Source organism: Homo sapiens, chromosome 2, assembly GCF_000001405.40.
Source record: "Homo sapiens chromosome 2, GRCh38.p14 Primary Assembly".
Classification (NCBI taxonomy): Eukaryota; Metazoa; Chordata; class Mammalia; order Primates; family Hominidae; genus Homo; species Homo sapiens.
This window is the reverse complement of record NC_000002.12, coordinates 182,541,414-182,558,472: the sequence shown is the minus strand read 5'-3', so window position 1 is coordinate 182,558,472 and position 17,059 is coordinate 182,541,414. Positions and strand designations below refer to the sequence as shown.

General features: G+C 37.0%; 1 protein-coding gene across 1 annotated transcript in view, besides 1 other annotated feature; it reads left to right on the top strand.

The window, feature by feature from the left end:
• Positions 1-17,059, top strand: part of PDE1A (phosphodiesterase 1A) — a 576,757-nt gene that overhangs the window by 158,325 nt on the left and 401,373 nt on the right. The window lies entirely within an intron of this gene.
• Positions 4,616-4,825: an enhancer, noted in NCBI's record as "active region_16835". NCBI's record gives its function as "activates an Ori minimal core promoter by ATAC-STARR-seq in GM12878 lymphoblastoid cells {active_cell/tissue: GM12878}" and the evidence as "EXISTENCE:reporter gene assay evidence [ECO:0000049][PMID:35858748]".

Below are 17,059 nucleotides of genomic sequence, written 5' to 3'. Positions count from 1 at the left end.
GTAAAAGCTTTAATTTTGTTTTATTTTATATTATTACAGACTGTCAAAGGGCTAAATAGAGATATGGAGTAGCCATTAATATGTATATTAAATGAGAATATTACATAAATTTGGGAAGATCAACTTATTTTTTATGACAATGTTAATCTTAAATCTTAAACGCCATAATATATATTAGATTATATCATAATTAAAATATTTGTAGACTCTTTTGGTGTACTTGCCTTATTAAAAAAAAAAGAGTTGTCAAACTGTTGTAATGTTTCTTTGAGAATCCTGCACATCCAGTGAGAATGAAATAACAGAAGGATGCCAAACTTATCTTCTCAAAATTTACAGGAAAGAAAATCCTACAAAATGATATACATCAATGATAAATTATTTTCAACTCAAACTGTTATAAGAATATGAAGAGCTATGTTAGGAGAAGAATGGATTACCCCAAACATATTTTGTACTTACTAATTAAACTTTGAAATAACAGATTTTATAACAATTTATAAAGAAAAGTTCCTAAAGTTTTGTGGCTATGGCAGTTAAAATTTCAATAGAAAACTTATGATTGCTATAGCTGCCAGCTACTTTCAGTAGTTGATGATGAAAGATTTGTAAGATTTGCTCAAGCTATGGATGTTTTATAAAATTATCTCTAGGAAATATGCTACTAAAAGTTGTTTTCTGAATAATATTCTTCTGTGCATGGAGACATTTAGAGACTTTTTTATTTTATTTATTTATTTTTATTTTATTATTATTTTTTTGAGATAGGGTCTTGCTCTGTTGCCTAGGCTAGAGTGCAGTGGCACGATTTTGGCTCACTGAAATCTTTGCCTCCCGGGTTCAAGCCATCTTCCCACCTCAGCCTCCCAAGTAGCTGGGACTACCAGTGCATGACACCATACCTGGCTTAGTTTTGTATTTTTTGTATAGATGGGGTCTCATCATGTTCCCCAGGCTGGTCTTGAACTCCTAGGCTCAAGCGATCTGCCCACCTTGGCCTCCCAAAGTGCTAAGATTACAGGTGTGAGCCACTGTGCCAGCCTAGAGACATTTTTAAATGGGCCAGAATCTATAAACAGTGATTGCCGAAATAATCTAGAGATGACAGTGCAGAGAAATTATGTTCAGACAATAATATAAAAATTTAGAAAAGGAAGCACTAGAATTTTTAATGATCTGAAATAAATATTTTTCATAAAATTTAATGTATTCTTTTTTTGTTTGTTTTTGATACACAGTCACTCTGTCACCCAGGCTGGAGTGCAGTGGTGCAATCTCCACTCACTGCAACCTCCACCACTTGGGATCAAGTGATTCTCCCGGCTAATTTTTGTATTTTTAGTAGAGACAGGGTTTTGCCATGTTGGCCAGGCTGGTCTTGAACTCCTGACCTCAGGTGATCCACCCGCCTCGGCCTCCCAAAGTGCTGGGATTACAGGCATGAGCCACCGTGCCCAGCCTTGTTTATTCTAATTCCAGGTGTTCTCTCCAGGATGATAATACTTGGCTTTGGGTAAATATCAATTCTACCATTCAGCTTTCAGTGAAAATGTGTATTCACTGCATCACCAATATTTATTTATTCGTTAACAATATACATGTACTATGGTCCTAGTGTTTAAGTACCAGGCTTACTATATGAAGTACCTAATATATTATAAAATAAACGGAGAAATAGAAATTGAAAAGGCTGAGATGAAGATGGCATGAAAATATTTTAAAATGTCATATTTCTAGTTATGGCTTCTGAAGCACATTAGACAATATTTTAAGAAATAAAATTAGGGCAGTGCATTCATCATAAATGAAAGTTCATGTAAATTTATTTTATAGTCTCCATAATTTCAAAAAGTTTAAAGGGCTCATTGGACTCATTGCTTTCAATTCCCAATATGGCCATTGAGGAACATTTCCTAACAGGAGGGTTAGCTTCCTTGTTTTCTGATTGTTTGCTGGTGCTTGCATCATTATTACACTGTCTTTAATGTTTAATTTATTTATAGGAGTATTTTTAAGACACTTGTGCATTTTCTGAGAATAAGTTTAGTTAACATTATATAGAATAATTTGTAAACCAATTTAACTGCTTACAAGTAAGCTGAAAAGTCACGATATCCTGGCTGCCTGTGGCTCTCTCTTCCTCTCTCACCACCCCAACAGCCAAATTATCTTTCAGATCTCAGCCTCATTGCCATATTTTCTTTGGTGGATCTTTGGTGGGAAATTTTAGGTGGTTTAAATAGTTATTTCCAAAGGTTTTTCTTGCTCCATGTTTGTAGCTACCATCTCAAATAATTTCAATATGGTCAGTTCTGATTTTCTTTTGTCAGATCTTATGTACATCACTCCCTTCATTTTTATTGTTGATTGTCTTCCAATGAGTTTTTTTGTTTCCCTCTTCAATTCACCAATGCACACAGTTCTAATTATCCATCCAAGAGTAGATTATGATTATCTTAAGTCAAAAGAATGCCACTCTTTTTTTTTTTTTTTTTTTTTTTTTTTTTGAGATGGAGTTTCCCTCTGTCTCCAGGCTGGAGTGCAGTGGCGACATCTCGGCTTACTGCAACCTCTGCCTCCCGGGTCCAAGCGATTCTCCTGCCTCAGCCTCCTGAGTAGCCGGGATTGCAGGTGCCTGCCACCATATCTGGCTAATTTTTGTATTTTTAGTAGAGACAGGGGTTTCATCATGTCGGCCAGGCTGGTCTCCAACTCCTGACCTCAGGTGATTCGCCTGCCTCAGCCTCCCAAAGTGCTGGTATTATAGGCGTGACCCACCACGCCCAGCCAACAATGACATTCTTAAAGAATATTATCTTAAAAAATTCCTGATAACTAATAATGACATTTCAAACATTTTCTGAGAATATGTTCTGGGCAAAATTTTCTCAGTGTAAAATTATGCATTCTTAGTACATATTCTTAAATGTGAAGAAAGGGTTATGTGATTTTTAAGATTGTTGACGTTTTTCACTGCACTATAACATAAAAGACATTTTAAAAAAGAATTGGTTAATTTATGTGAAAAAAGAGGTTCATTTACATATATCAGGATTTACTAGTTATGGCAGGTGGCATCCACACCGATTAGAAGTTATTTTATTGTAGCTCCTGAAATCTTGATTCTGTTATCTTACTTCTATTATCAAACGCTCGGAGTATCTTGACAAAAACATTCACCGACAATGTGTTTGAATGATGTAATTAACTCAGGTAGCATGGAAAGCTGTTGTGAATTTAAGAAAAGCTTCATAAAATCCTTTTTTGGTTAAGATTCTGTTTATTGTCTAGAGTGCCTCTGTCAACAGAAAGCTCTGAAGTCAGGGAATGTTTACTGTGAGTGCTACTGTAATTAAATTTGCCATTTGAGTCATTGCCCAGGAGTGATGTCAGGTAACAGATTACGTTTGTTCACATCTCTTTAGTTTATATGAGTATTATGAGACAGATATTACTGACAGGGCTTTATAGATTCAATATTTCAACTATTTCTCTGTTTACACTTTTGAAATGATGTCTTGAAATCCTGAGAAGATATCGATGAGATTGTGCAAATCCTTTTCAAAGAGTTTCCTCCAAATTTTATGGTGAATTACAGCTAAGGAAATACTGACTTCGTTTTGCTAAATTATATTATGAAACCATATTTTTCTATGAACTGGCAGAATGAAGACTTTTCTAAGGTAGCTGTCCAGCATTAGAAGATGAATGCCTTGGAAACTAATAATAATAATGACATGACTAAAAATAATGATAACATTATAAAACATGTTTGAAGGCTGTGCATGCATTATTTCCTTCGTATAACTCTATGAGTTAAATAATATTACATTCATTTTACAGATTATGAAGCTTTGAGAAAAAAGTTAACTAACTCGCCAAAGTTCACACAAGTAGAAGCAATGAAATAGGAACTCAAATCTAGGTCTGCTTAGTTTCAGAACCCACACCTTCACCACCTCACTAGATACTTCATTCCTGGAGATGATCAAGCCTGGTCCAGAAGATGGCTTGGCAAGGAGAGCTTAGAAAGGCTTCCAACATCAGATGGATGGTGAACCAAGTGAAGTAAAACTTTCAAGCCCTGAGAATCTGTGATTCTATGTTTATATCAGTAAGAAATGTATTTTTGTGTACCTTTAGACTTCAGAAGGGGAATCGTGACTGGAGTTTCATCAAAGATGGATTTAAAATTAGTTTTAATTTAAAGCACTAAAATGGAATATGAAATAGTTTAGAAAATTTGGTTTCCAAACAAATGATCTCTTTGAATTGTAGGTTAAATTTAGTCAAAGGAAAATGGTGTGACTCCTTTGAGAGATGCCTTCCTTCAGGCCCTCGTGTCTCATCTAAGTATTATAGTCCTTTCTCTACTGGTCTACCTGCCTGGAGTTTTGTGCCTTGTAATCAACTCTCCACTATAAAGTTGAGTTATCTACTGAAATACAAACCTGATCCCGTAACCCCCCTGCCTAAAACAGTCTGTGATGATTTCCATTGTCAGTTTTTTACTTCATTGCTCAAGGCTTTGGCCTTGACTGTCTAAAGTCTCCTGATACTTTTCGGCATGCACCCACCATTCCAGACATACGGGGATTCTTTATAGCCCCTAAATCTGTTATAGAGATATACATAACTCTGTCATGCAGATTGCTCTGCACTTCTGTGTGTGCATTTGTACCTCTGACTGAATGCTTGTCTTCTCATTTTCCATCTAGAAAATGCCTACTCATACTTTCAGTTCCAGTTTAAATGAAACCTCCTGTGAGAAGTCTCTCAACTCCTCCCAGGCAAGTTAATCATTCTTTTCACAATTCCTCCAGTGCATTTGGTACATATTTTCGTTTTAACACCTTGAACTGTAATCATATCTCCACATGCTCCCAACTATGAGTTAGCTCCTCAAGGAGAATGACAACATTTTATTTAAAAAAATCTTTGTATGCCAGGCATGGTGGTTCATGCCTGTAATCCCAGCACTTTGGGAGACCGAGGCAGGTGGATCACCTGAGGTCAGGAGCTCGAGACCAGCCCAGCCAACATGGTGAAACCCTGTCTCTACTAAAAATACAAATATCAGCCGTTGTAGTGGTATGCACCTGTAATCCCAGCTACTCAGGAGGCTGAGGCAGGAGAATCACTTGAACCTGGGAGGCAGAGGTTGTGTTACTGGGGGGTCCTTGCTCACAGAGCACCCAAGATGGTGGCGAGCCACTTCCAAGATGGTGGTGGGCCGCTTCCAAGATGGTGGCAAGCCTCGTGTTCTCTGACCTGGGGTTCTTGGCCTCACGGATTCCAAGGAATGGAATCTTGGGCCATGCGGTGAGTGTTATAGCTCTATTAGAAGCCGTGGGTCACGGAAGAGAACCGTGGAGTCCAGTGACCAGTGTTTAGCTCGATTAGGATGAACCCAGGCACTTAGCCGTGCAGGAACAATGGCAAGCCTTTAGCCCAGATCAGGAGTGGCAATGGGCCCCTCGCTGGATCAGGAGCACAGCGGACACCCTGCTGGATCTGGAGGGATGGGAGTCAGCAGCGGGTCTGCGAGGGCGGCAAACAGCTGTGGTGGATGGCGAGCGAAAGCTCAGCTCGAGCCGTAACAAACATGGACCAGAAGAGTGCAGTTGCAAGATTTAATAGAGTGAAATAGAGTGAAAACAGAGCTCCCATACAAAGGGAGGGGGTCCAAAGGGGGTAGCCATTGCTGGCTCGAATGCCTGGGTTTATATCCCGATCCTTGTCCCTCCCACTGTGCTCTCAGGCAATAGATGATTGGCTATTTCTTTACCTCCTGTTTTTGCCTAATTAGAATTTTAGTGAGCGCTCTGATTGGTTGGGCGTGAGCTAAGTTGCAAGCCCCGTGTTTAAAGGTGGATGCGGTCACCTTCCCAGCTAGGCTTAGGGATTCTTAGTTGGCCTAGGAAATCCAGCTAGTCCTGTCTCTCAGTTGCAGTGAGCCGAGATCACGCCACCACCCTCCAGCCTGGGTGACAGAGCGACACTCTGTTTCAAAAAAAAAAAAAAAAAAAAAAACTTTGTGTAGCTTTTGTTTTACAAACAATTGCCTACTGCAGTTCCCAGTACAATAGCTGCTCACAATTCCCTGTTGGATGACTAGCTGAATGCTGTGTCAAGGAAGAGCATGTGAAGGAAGAGCTGAAAATTTGGGGAGTTGCTTATGCTAACATGCTTTCTTTAGAATCTATTTTTCTCCCTGTTTTTGAGAGCCCTGGAAAGATATGTTATAGGTTTGGAAAGGCATTATATGTGAAAAACTGAAGTGATACTCAGGCCCAATATGACTTATTGGAGAGGTAATGGGAATATTTGGGTTCATTATGTGATAAAAATGAAATAGTAAAACAAATAGCATATCTTTTAAAATATTTTTTAAAGGTTTCAAAGAGTTGTATGTGATGGCTGGCTGGTAGTGATCATTGGAAGTCAAAAAGTGGCCACATTCTAGATCAAGACCACACACCCCTGTGACTTTATCTGTTCATCCAGAGTAATCTCTAGCTTCTCTGAGTATAGAAATAGACACTGTGTTTGGCATAAACTCCCCCTTCTTGAAAGAGGTCCAGATTGAAGTCAAGAACTGAGTTTAAGAAAACCTAATCCTAAGCCTTCTATCTACCTTGATTTTTTAGCAGGGGTCAAGAGTGAGTTGCCAATCCTCACTCCTTAATGTCCTGGACACTTGTAGGCTTGCCACCATTTCAGCCTGACTCCACCAGGACAAATCTCAGTATGCCACTTATCTCTGTTCATACCGGTCACCACAGAAAGTGCCAGATTTCCTAAAATCCTGATATCATTGACATTCTTTCTATAAGAATGCTTTCTAGGGGGAACTGGTCTCTCACAAGAGGGCATTCCTTCTCTGCAGCCCTCTGAAGTGGTGGCTGCTTTTAATTCCACAACTCTTTCATAGCTGGACCTGAAGTTGGGAGTAGGCATTGTCTTCTCTCCTCATTGCTGCTTTCAGATCATTCTTTTTCTTTCCTGTAAAATTCCAAATTCCACGACACCCACTGCTTTTCTCTATTACTGTTATCAGCTTACTCATGGGACAACCCCAAGCCCCCACTTCGCTCCGATTTTAGCTTCTGGATCACCATCACTCTCTCCAACATTATCCCATTATTGGCAAAGATGATTCCTCCAATAATTGGCCTCTCATTCCTTTGATTGACTCTTCAACAGTGATCCATCTTCTACCCTGCCACAGCCACCTATAGCTATTGTCAAAAGATACCTCTCCCTTTTACCTTGCTCTGAGCTTTCTTTGCACCCCCCAATTGTAGCTATTATTTTATAATAGATTATGCAATTTATAATTTATTATGCCTCTTTCTAGTCATTTGTTTCCGCCAGACAGAATGTAAGTTCCTAAAGGTCAGGGATTTTTTTTTTTTTTGTATTTGCTGATTGTAGGAAACATTGGCCAGTTATTCTCCAAATCTGTTTCTTTTTTTCCTGGGTACACTGGTAGACTATATTTCCAGGCTCCCTTCCTGTTTGGTATATCCTTGTGCTTTGTTTCTGGTTAAAGGAATGTGAACAGAACTTACATACAATTTTGAGCCCCTCTTGCCTCTATGCTCCTTTTTCCTCCATTTGCCATATGGACACAGAAGATCCAACAGGAGACTCTCATGCTCTCTACAGGATAGCGGAACCACAAGATGGAAACAATTCTGGATTCCAGAGTCAACTCCTGATAGCTGCCCACCAAACACACTCATTGATCTTTTACCTGGCACAGAGGTATAGAATCCTATTGTTAAGGCATGAAAACTATTGGATTGTCTGTTATAACAGTGAGGGCATCCTGAATAATACAATAATGTGTCTAATGCACCTAGAAGTGTGACTGGAGCGTCGTAATTGTTCATTAACATATTATTCCTTTTTTTCTTCAGTAGAACGGAATTAAAGGTCTTAAAATCACCAGTACTTGCTTTACCAGTATTTCAGAACTTAGTAGTAGACTAAGGCTAACAAAGAGTCTGGCTTGGCTGGAATTGCCCTGAATTCTGATGATCTGTGCCAGAGAAGTATAATAGTTGCCCAGAGCATGATTTCCCTGGAGAATGGGGTTTTATTACAGCTGTAATAACCAAATAGAAAGGCTAGCGAAGTGCCCTGTGAATTAATCTATTCCAGACTAAGTTTGAAACTAATTAATTATTTATTTCATGGTATTTAACACCTTTGTTTAGAGTTCAAGGAATTTTTGGTGGACTGGGAAAAGACAAATTCAACTAGTTACGTGTCATTCTCACATTTACTTTCTTTATTTATAGGAAGAATTCTCTAGTAGGCTAAACAGAGGTAGAACCTGGATTCTAATGCCGGTCTTGATTATTTTGGATATCTGGGGTCAGAAATTTGCTACTTCTTTACTAGGAATCTCCAAGAGAAAATGTTCCTCTTTTTCTTCATTGATGGCTAGAAAAATCTAATAACTTTGAATGACTATGAAGGTGAAAATAAAAATGTCGTAGGGAAAAGCTAAGTAAGACATAAAGATAATAGCTAAATTGAGAATAATCAGATTTTCTTCCTGATTTCATTTGTATATCAATTTACCTTAACCAAATGTTACTATTTATAAAACGGAATTAAACAATACAGATAGTAAAAACTATTTAATAACCCTGTCTATAAGTAATATAAACATATACACACACAAATATGTCAAAAAACACTATCTCATTGAAAGAACCCTAATAACTTGGTGAAGGAATGAAAAAAATATGTACTTAGAATAATAACGTTGCTTCTGTCTTCTGTATTCCATGTCTATTTAAATTGGAAGAGAGTTCCCCAGTTTTGCCTTTACTTATAGTGAATGATTTGTAACAAAATATAATCTAGACAGAAAAAGGCATTTGTTTCCTATTTAAGTACACAATTTGTTCAAATTTGGAGGTATTTTCCAGAGATCTGCAAGTCATATTTCCTAATTCACTCTTTCCTTCTTCAGTATGCTATACATTGTATGCATAATACAATACTATATTGCTGATAATATTACCATTAACTCCTGATTTATGTGTAACTCATGACTTTTTAATTTCCTATGTTCTTTTAGAATTATTGGTTTTGTGCCTTTTTGCATAATCAATACTTGTAATTTGAAAGAGACAAAATCTAAATTAATAGAAATGTAATTCTGGTTTGCAAGTTAAAGTAGACTTTAACTTTATCTTCTATGAAACATACAATAGAAATCGATTGTGCTTGTTATTTTTTTTCAAGATTTTTTGGCTATTCAAATATATCTCAAATATTTTTTGAAATATTTTCTCCATAAAAGTGATTTTTTTCCAAGGGAAATGGAAACACTGATGATTGAGGGATTCAAAACTTCTATAATCCAAAGTGAATTATACTTGAGAACTTCAAGGTAGTTTATAAATATTAATTTCTTTTATGATGTAGACATACTAATATACATTTACCTTCACTGCATACTCTAAGCTTTATTAGTTGGACTTAACGTCTTAAACACATCTCTGCTTCCTGTTAGTCTTACAAATTGTGATTATCAAAAATACTTAATTGATTATCCACATGGAACATTCTTTAGGACTGGTCTGCACACACTTAGAGGACATGCAGTGGTTAGTTTTTGCATTGTGGAATTGCTGTTTGACCTTAGCATGACCTATCTGAGGGAATGCAGAACCATGAGTGGAATCTGGTTCCAAGTGGGGAAAATATACTAGTGTTGCATGAACTAGGGAATTACCAAAGGGACCTAACCTACCCCAGATAAGGGTTTAGGCAATGGGAGAAAAAAATTTCACCCACAAAGAATGGTAGAAATCCATAATTTTGGGAAGTGCTCTAGCCTCCTTATTTAAAAAAGAAAAAAATTCTTAAAAATCTGTGGAAAAGCAGCATCTGTCTCCTTGGTCTGTGTGTGTTTTTGAATAAACTCCCAAATGTTTCTTTGACCTCGGCACAGTTTATTGAGAGCAGTTGTCAGGCACAGATTGGGATCCACATTCCCCTAATCTGCCTTCCAAATTCCTTCTTGCATTTTGCTTGGTCGTATCCTGTGCGTTTCGACTTGGCATTTCAGCATTTGTCACTGATCCTATTTTAAAAATCAAGCTTGCCGTTGTTTTGGCTCAGGTACTTTAAAAACAAAAATTGAAAGTCAGGGAACTATTCAGGAGGTCTTGGGAAAAAAGGCAAAACCAGCTGTTTCCTGTTAGTAACAGCTGAATCTGGAGCACAGGTTTCTTTAGGCGCTGATCTGCTGTCCACTATTTCACCTCTGGTGTCTGAGCAAATATTATGTTCACTGACTTAAGATGAGAATAAAAGCAAATCTTTTTCCATCTTCCAGTTCCTTGGGAAAAAGCACAAACTTGGGAAAGGAGATGTTTATTTTAAACTTGTGATAGGAATTAAATGGTACCGAATTCCAGTCCCAGGAAAAATTGTGATTTTATTTTAGGGTAAGCAATTCCCATATCTACACATCTCTCTCAGACCCTACTTCTCGGTTTCTCGATATTGTTGCAATAAAAATGGCTATTTAACTTTTTTCTTCAAAACTTACTTGTCCTAGGTACTAACCTCTCAGAGAACTGGGAAATAATTACTTTATCAGTTAATTCACATGATGCCATTAAGAGTAATAATTGATAAATATATTAGTATTTATTCTAGTCATAGAAATTTCCGGCTCTTTCACAGGACATTTCTGAGAGATTTTTGGTCAGAATGGGCCTTCTGGTAACTGCCAAATTACATTACAAAGGCATCAGCCTAGTCTGCCTGAGTGTAAATTAATGTAGATTTATTTTTTTAAAGGATATTTGCCTATGTACACTTCCTATGCAATATGAAGAATGTGTCAAGTGTCTGCATATCTTATGTGTTTTAATTAGTATTTACTGAGTACTGTTGGTTAACCTGGCCTGATTAATAAAAACAACTTACACGAAGTAAATTCTGATGTCGTTGATTAATTAGTTCCCGTCTGGAGTCTTTTCATCAAGAAAATATCTTATGCTCATCATCAAAGGCAGGAAGGCATAAGATGGAGGGTTAAAACACATCAACTTTGGTTGGTTTCCTAAGAATTCTCTTTGGTTCTCTTTTTTGTGGGGGTAGATTTATTTTAGGAGATGACAGTTCTGCTAGACACATATGGACAGCAAAAGGGTGCTAGATCAGAAAGGGTAGGCTGATCGTTTAGAACAGGAACCCAACAACGAGATGGAAACCCAGCACCCAGGATGTGCAAATGCCTCTTTTTGTATTTTGCAAATGCAGTTATTAACTAGGGCTGTTAATGAAGGCTCTTTTTTGTTAAATCCTATTTTTAGATGTATTTACCCCTAATAATCACTAATATACTTTCAATTTTATTTTTAAAAAATTGTAAAGTGAGTTCATCTACTGAAGGAGCACTAACTTCAGTTAGCTGCGAGTGCCTCTTAATCATTTTTTTGATTCCATAAAAAATAATGTGAAAGTAACTGTTTTGATGAAATAGCAACTTGGAGGTAAAAACAGGAAATGATTGAACTTTTTAATAACTTCTATTGTCCTTTAAGCGGTAGTTCTTTCAAGTTAACCATATCTTCTGCTCTGTAGTAGTAAGTTTCCTTAAGATTATTTCAGTTCAATTCTACAACACCCTGTCATTTAGAGTTAATAAAATGTTTCATTTAGGTGAATCCTTTCTTGTTCTCCAGACTTGTTCCTCTGGTATTGGTTTGGCAAGGAAGAAGAGGGAATGAAAGGATCTGCCCTTTGAGGAACCAACAACAGGGCAACAACACACAGCAAGTTGGCTGGAATCTCTGGTTGATTGTAACTCTTGTTCTTGGATGAGAACCACTCCTCACGGGTGGTGATGAAGTTGCTGTTCTTTTGTGAGTGATCGATGCTTCGTTATCCACGTGGCTTTCAAATGCTATCACCCTTCCCCAGTTGTTGCTTCCTCACAGGGCCTTATAGGGGCCTTTTGATGCACAGCCCTCTGATAGGGGGTATCCATCTTAGTCTCAGCTTTATCTTTACCTTCTTTCCTCCCACAGCAGATGGACCACCAAGAATGCCTTGCTCTTGGGGTACATCCATCCAGTGAGTGGTCTCTTGGAATGGATATAAGCAAAATGGCTTTAACTTTGCTACCTTCTCCTTTGTCTAGGTGTGTATCAGACACCCTGGTGCATCCTAGCAACAGCACAATGGGAATGCAGGCTGGACTCTTGGCACTTCATCCTCCTGATCTGCCCCTTCTCTCCTGCTTCTTCTTGGTATTTTGCTTATCAGGAACTCTGCCACTTTCAGGCAAGAGATGATTACCAACACTTGCTTCAGTAACAAGGGGAGACACTTTTGGTTGAAAGACCAGAGCTGGAGAACCAATTCAAATAACTTTCCTCAGCCACAGAGGGGATGAAGGGAGCAATGGGTTATTCTCCACTAACTCTATAGTACTTGAAAAGGTCACTTTCGTCTTGCTTCTCTATATAGTAAAAGTCCTCTTAAAACTCTGTATGATAAAAGTCACTAAACAGGTTTGGCCTCTGTCACTTACTAATTACATTATGTAATTATACTAACAACTGGCATAAATAGATTTTGGAATAAATATAACTGACTGCTGGTAAGAACATAAATTACGGTGTAGAAACAGAAGTATAAACTCCTGGAAAAAAGATCACAGATTTGGCCTTTCACTGTGCTGCAGAAGTCAGTCAGTATGTTTTACAGAGGAACAGAGAGTTTTAATATGACAGGTCTGTTCATAAGGTGAGTTAGAGAGCTTTCACTTTAAACTTTGAGCTCTGAGCCATAAAGCAATGTTATGAACCCTAGGCTGAATGACCTGACCGGAACTTTCTAGCTACTTAGTCACAGTTAAGACTTGAAATCAGGCTTTCTCATCTCATGTCTTTTCCACTATAGTATTTGTATCCATCAGAGTTATTAAAAAAATAGAAACCACTCTGGATATTTCAAATGGAAGGAATTTATTAGAGAGAATTTGTTACACTGGAAATGTAAGAAAGAAGACATTGAGCAGGGAAGAGGGCAACAACTCAGAGGACAGCAAGTGCAGGGAGCTGCTACTATTCCTAGTGCTTGAGTGTGTCACTGGAGCCCATGGGGTGGGGTCTAGGACCAGGGAAGGGGCTGCTTTGGGAGAAGCTGGGACCACAGGGGATGGGATTGTCCAGTGGGATCCGGAGCCATGAAGAAGGTGCAGCCATTATCAGAGAAGCCAGCCACAGCAGAGACAGGGAGTAGTATCCGGTTTCTTCCTTCATCCTGTCTGCTATTCTTACACTTGTGTCTGTCTTTCCTTTTTGAATTTTCCTAGTGAATACAATGGCTATGAACTAAGAAAACACATGGCACATCTAATAACTAAGCTCTAAAGGGGCATATTTAAAGGATAAAAAGAAGCACACTTCCAGTAAGACCGGTATTTATTTAATTATTATAAAAATAATAATTACACAAATAGTAAATGATAAAATGAGACGTGATTATTGTACTGTTTATTCCTTTTCATCCTCATCACAACTTTTACAGTAATTTTACCTCTTTGTTTCTTTCCACCACATGAGAAGGAGATAAATAAAGAAGGAGATGAACCAGAAAGATGAGACAGGAAAAAAGGGGAAGGCAAGTGGAAGCATCAGAGAAGCCAATGTGGAGAGAATCAAGAAAAACAGACAAATCGAGGCAGAAAAGCAAGGCCAGTAACTGTAATGATAAAGTTTTGAAATGATGCTATGCATACTACATTTTAATGGGCAGCTTCCTCATTCAAATGAGAGGAAGGAGGAGGGATTGGGAAGGTGAGTGGAAAAGAATATTTCAAACAAATTCTATCTCCACGACATCACTTTCCTTTAGGCTGACCTTGATTTCTTGTCACCAGAGCAGGTGCCACATGTTTAGCTCTCTAAGCTGATGGTATGTCGCAAATCCCATGTTTTTATGAATATTTTAGACAACTTTTTCCTTGTGACTTAAACTCATCTAGACTCAAAAGTCTAAGTTTGGACAGCAGAAGGAAGCAAAAGCAGCAAAAGAAAGCATGCTGTAGAAAAGATACTAAAACTTGACCATAAACAGAGGAGGGAAACCAGACAGCTGTATTTTACTTCAATTACTTTTGTTTACCACTATCTGTCAGGGCTAGTCCTGCTGCTACTCTGAGCAAGTTGCCCTGCTTTAATTTCAGTAGTATCTGTTTATCACCCAGTCTTGGTTGCCAGTTATGGTCAGGTCATTAATTGCTTGGTCACCTCTTAACCTCATTTGGGAAAGTTTATGTGTTGATAGTCCTGCAACTTGAACCAGGTCACTTATTTTTAAGAAGGTTAGGATTCTTTTTATTTTCTCCCGCTTATTACTGAGAGAAGTTAGTTGAAAAATACAGAGACCACTACTTAAGTAATTTTTCACCAAAGACATTCAATATCATGACAGAATTCAGGATGTGGAGGGAGACTGGCAGGTGGGGAAGGAGAGACAGAGAGGAAGAGTTGGCAGGACCCATGTGTATCATCTTCTCATTTTAGAAGCCCATATGGTGCTTCATAATGCTCTGCTCAATTGCCATATAGTTTTAGTCTACATCCTATTAAAAAGAAACCCTATTAAGAAGAGCATTTCAGTTAAATTATAAATCTCACATTATAATTCACAAAAATTTTTCACGAGTATCTGGAGTGTAATATAGACTGACCTTGAAAGATAAATTGAGACATCTTTTTTTTTAATGAAAAAATTTCTAAAAGAACTGTTTCCAATGTTTAATTTGTCAAGGACATAAAGATTACATGTCTTTGATTAAAATAAGGTTAAAGTTTGATTTTAATGTTCAAAATAAAATAACCCAAAATGTAAAAAACAAAATCCACCAAAACACTGTTACCCATAATGTAGGCATCCCCTGTTCCTTTTATAGTTTGATGTACAAAGCTGAGTCCTAATTTTAAACCCTGGGTTGGACTACCCAAACAAATCTCAGTCCCTGTCCTTAAGAATCTTGTAATCTGGTTTATCTAATGAAATATAGTTACAATAGCAAGTTGTAGTGGCTTATAACAATGGTCAGTGGTACATTAGGGTTTTGTCTTACAATGAGTAGAATAGTCGGCTACTTAGAATTAATCATACAAATCTGTATGTTTTATTTCATTTCCAGGGCATTTTTGGGAAAACATTAATAAATACACTTAAGAGAAAATGGACTTTATTTTCCACAATCTTATTTATATTTCTATATCTGAGCTATGTACACTATCAATATTTCATATATAGTGCAGGTATAAAGCATGATTTGAGTGGTCTCCTCTGATGGCTACCCTTTCCAGTGCCCACTGCTTCCTGGATTTGTAACTTCAGGGAAATAGAGCAGCTGCCTTGAGCTGACTCACTCAGAGTACACTCACAAAAACACAGCCTCTTAAAAAAGCCAAAGGAAAAACGAGATGTGGAAGCAAGGTACATCAATGATAATGCTTATAAATGTACATACACTCTAATTTCCTTTATCATTGCATTGTGAGTTCTGGCTTTTGGACATGAAGACATATGCTTATTTTCATTAACGTGATTTCCCCCTAAGAGATAAAGATATGATTTTGGCAGAGAAATCAAAACAAATGTGAATACTGAGAAACATCCAAGTTATTATCTTGACAATTGGCTTTAATACGCCAGTTGGACATCTTAACCAAAAATTTATCATTCGTTGACGTAAACCCGTAGTGTAGAAATTCTAATGATATGCCATGGAACCAAGAGATTTCTATTCCCTAAATAGGCATTACTATTTTATTGCCTAATAAAATAATAGAACATGCTATGAAGGATTAAATGAGATTTATAAAAAATTTAAAAACTGGAAATACAAATAAAATAATTCAAGACATTCAACACTTGGAATATATTAGATACTATATGTAATTTAATATATTCATTAAATTTACACAAATGTTTAATTCATACAGAATGCAAGATATTTTCATACATCTTCAGTGATGTTTTTACCTAAATTTATTTGGAACATCTACTGGTTAGCAGTTCAGAAAATCTGGGCCTTGTCTCTAATGTTAAAAGTAATTTGGCCTTAAAGAACATACATAGAGATAGCTGTCAAATAAAAGATCAAATACATCTTTTTGTGAAATTGAGCGTAGTTTAGAAAATTCGCAGAATATATAACATTTTGAAATATTTAAGGTTAGATTTTTAACTTAAAGTATATATTTTCTCTGAAATCGCATAGGTATAGATGTATAAAATAATAACTAATTTGAAAAGGCAATGCTTGATTTTAAAATAATCTAATAAAAGCAATGTATTTTATAATCACATAAAATTTTTAAAATAGGTTAATTGAGATATTTTCAGCAAATGTTTCTAAATTCCTGACATTAAATTCCCAGGTTGATTTTAATTTTCATGCTTTGGATTTGGAATTGATAGGTTTATTAGTTGGAAAAGGAATCTTAATATTCGGGCCTCTCCTTAAGCCAGTCTTTCCTGCTCAAGTCACACATAAAGCTTCATTTACAATAGTTAATTTGGAATTTTTAAACTTAATATTTCCTTTTCTAACATGTAAAGGTAATTAAGTCACAAGCAGATTTGCCTGCAAACATGCATGGCTAACAACACATTTTCAAATTTTCTACGTTCAGAGCATTAATACTCTATTATCAGTTAAATTAAATATGAACAAATATAGACCTAATGGTCAGTCTGTAATGGGTTTTAAAATAGTTACATGTGTAATAGGTTTTTATAAACCTTATTAGAGATTGAGCCTCACAAGAAAACTCTAAGGTTAGTAGGGCAGCTTTTCTCACAGCCCTTCAATAGCATAATATATTGCATTTATTGAATGTTTCCTTCCACCAAGACCCATGGTCACCATGTTACATGTATTTCCTCTCTGAAACCTCATGACAACCTAGTGAAGGAAGTTCTGTGGTTAGTCCTTTATGTCAGAGGAAACTAGAAATATTAAGCAGTTTCTGCCAGGTTACTGAGT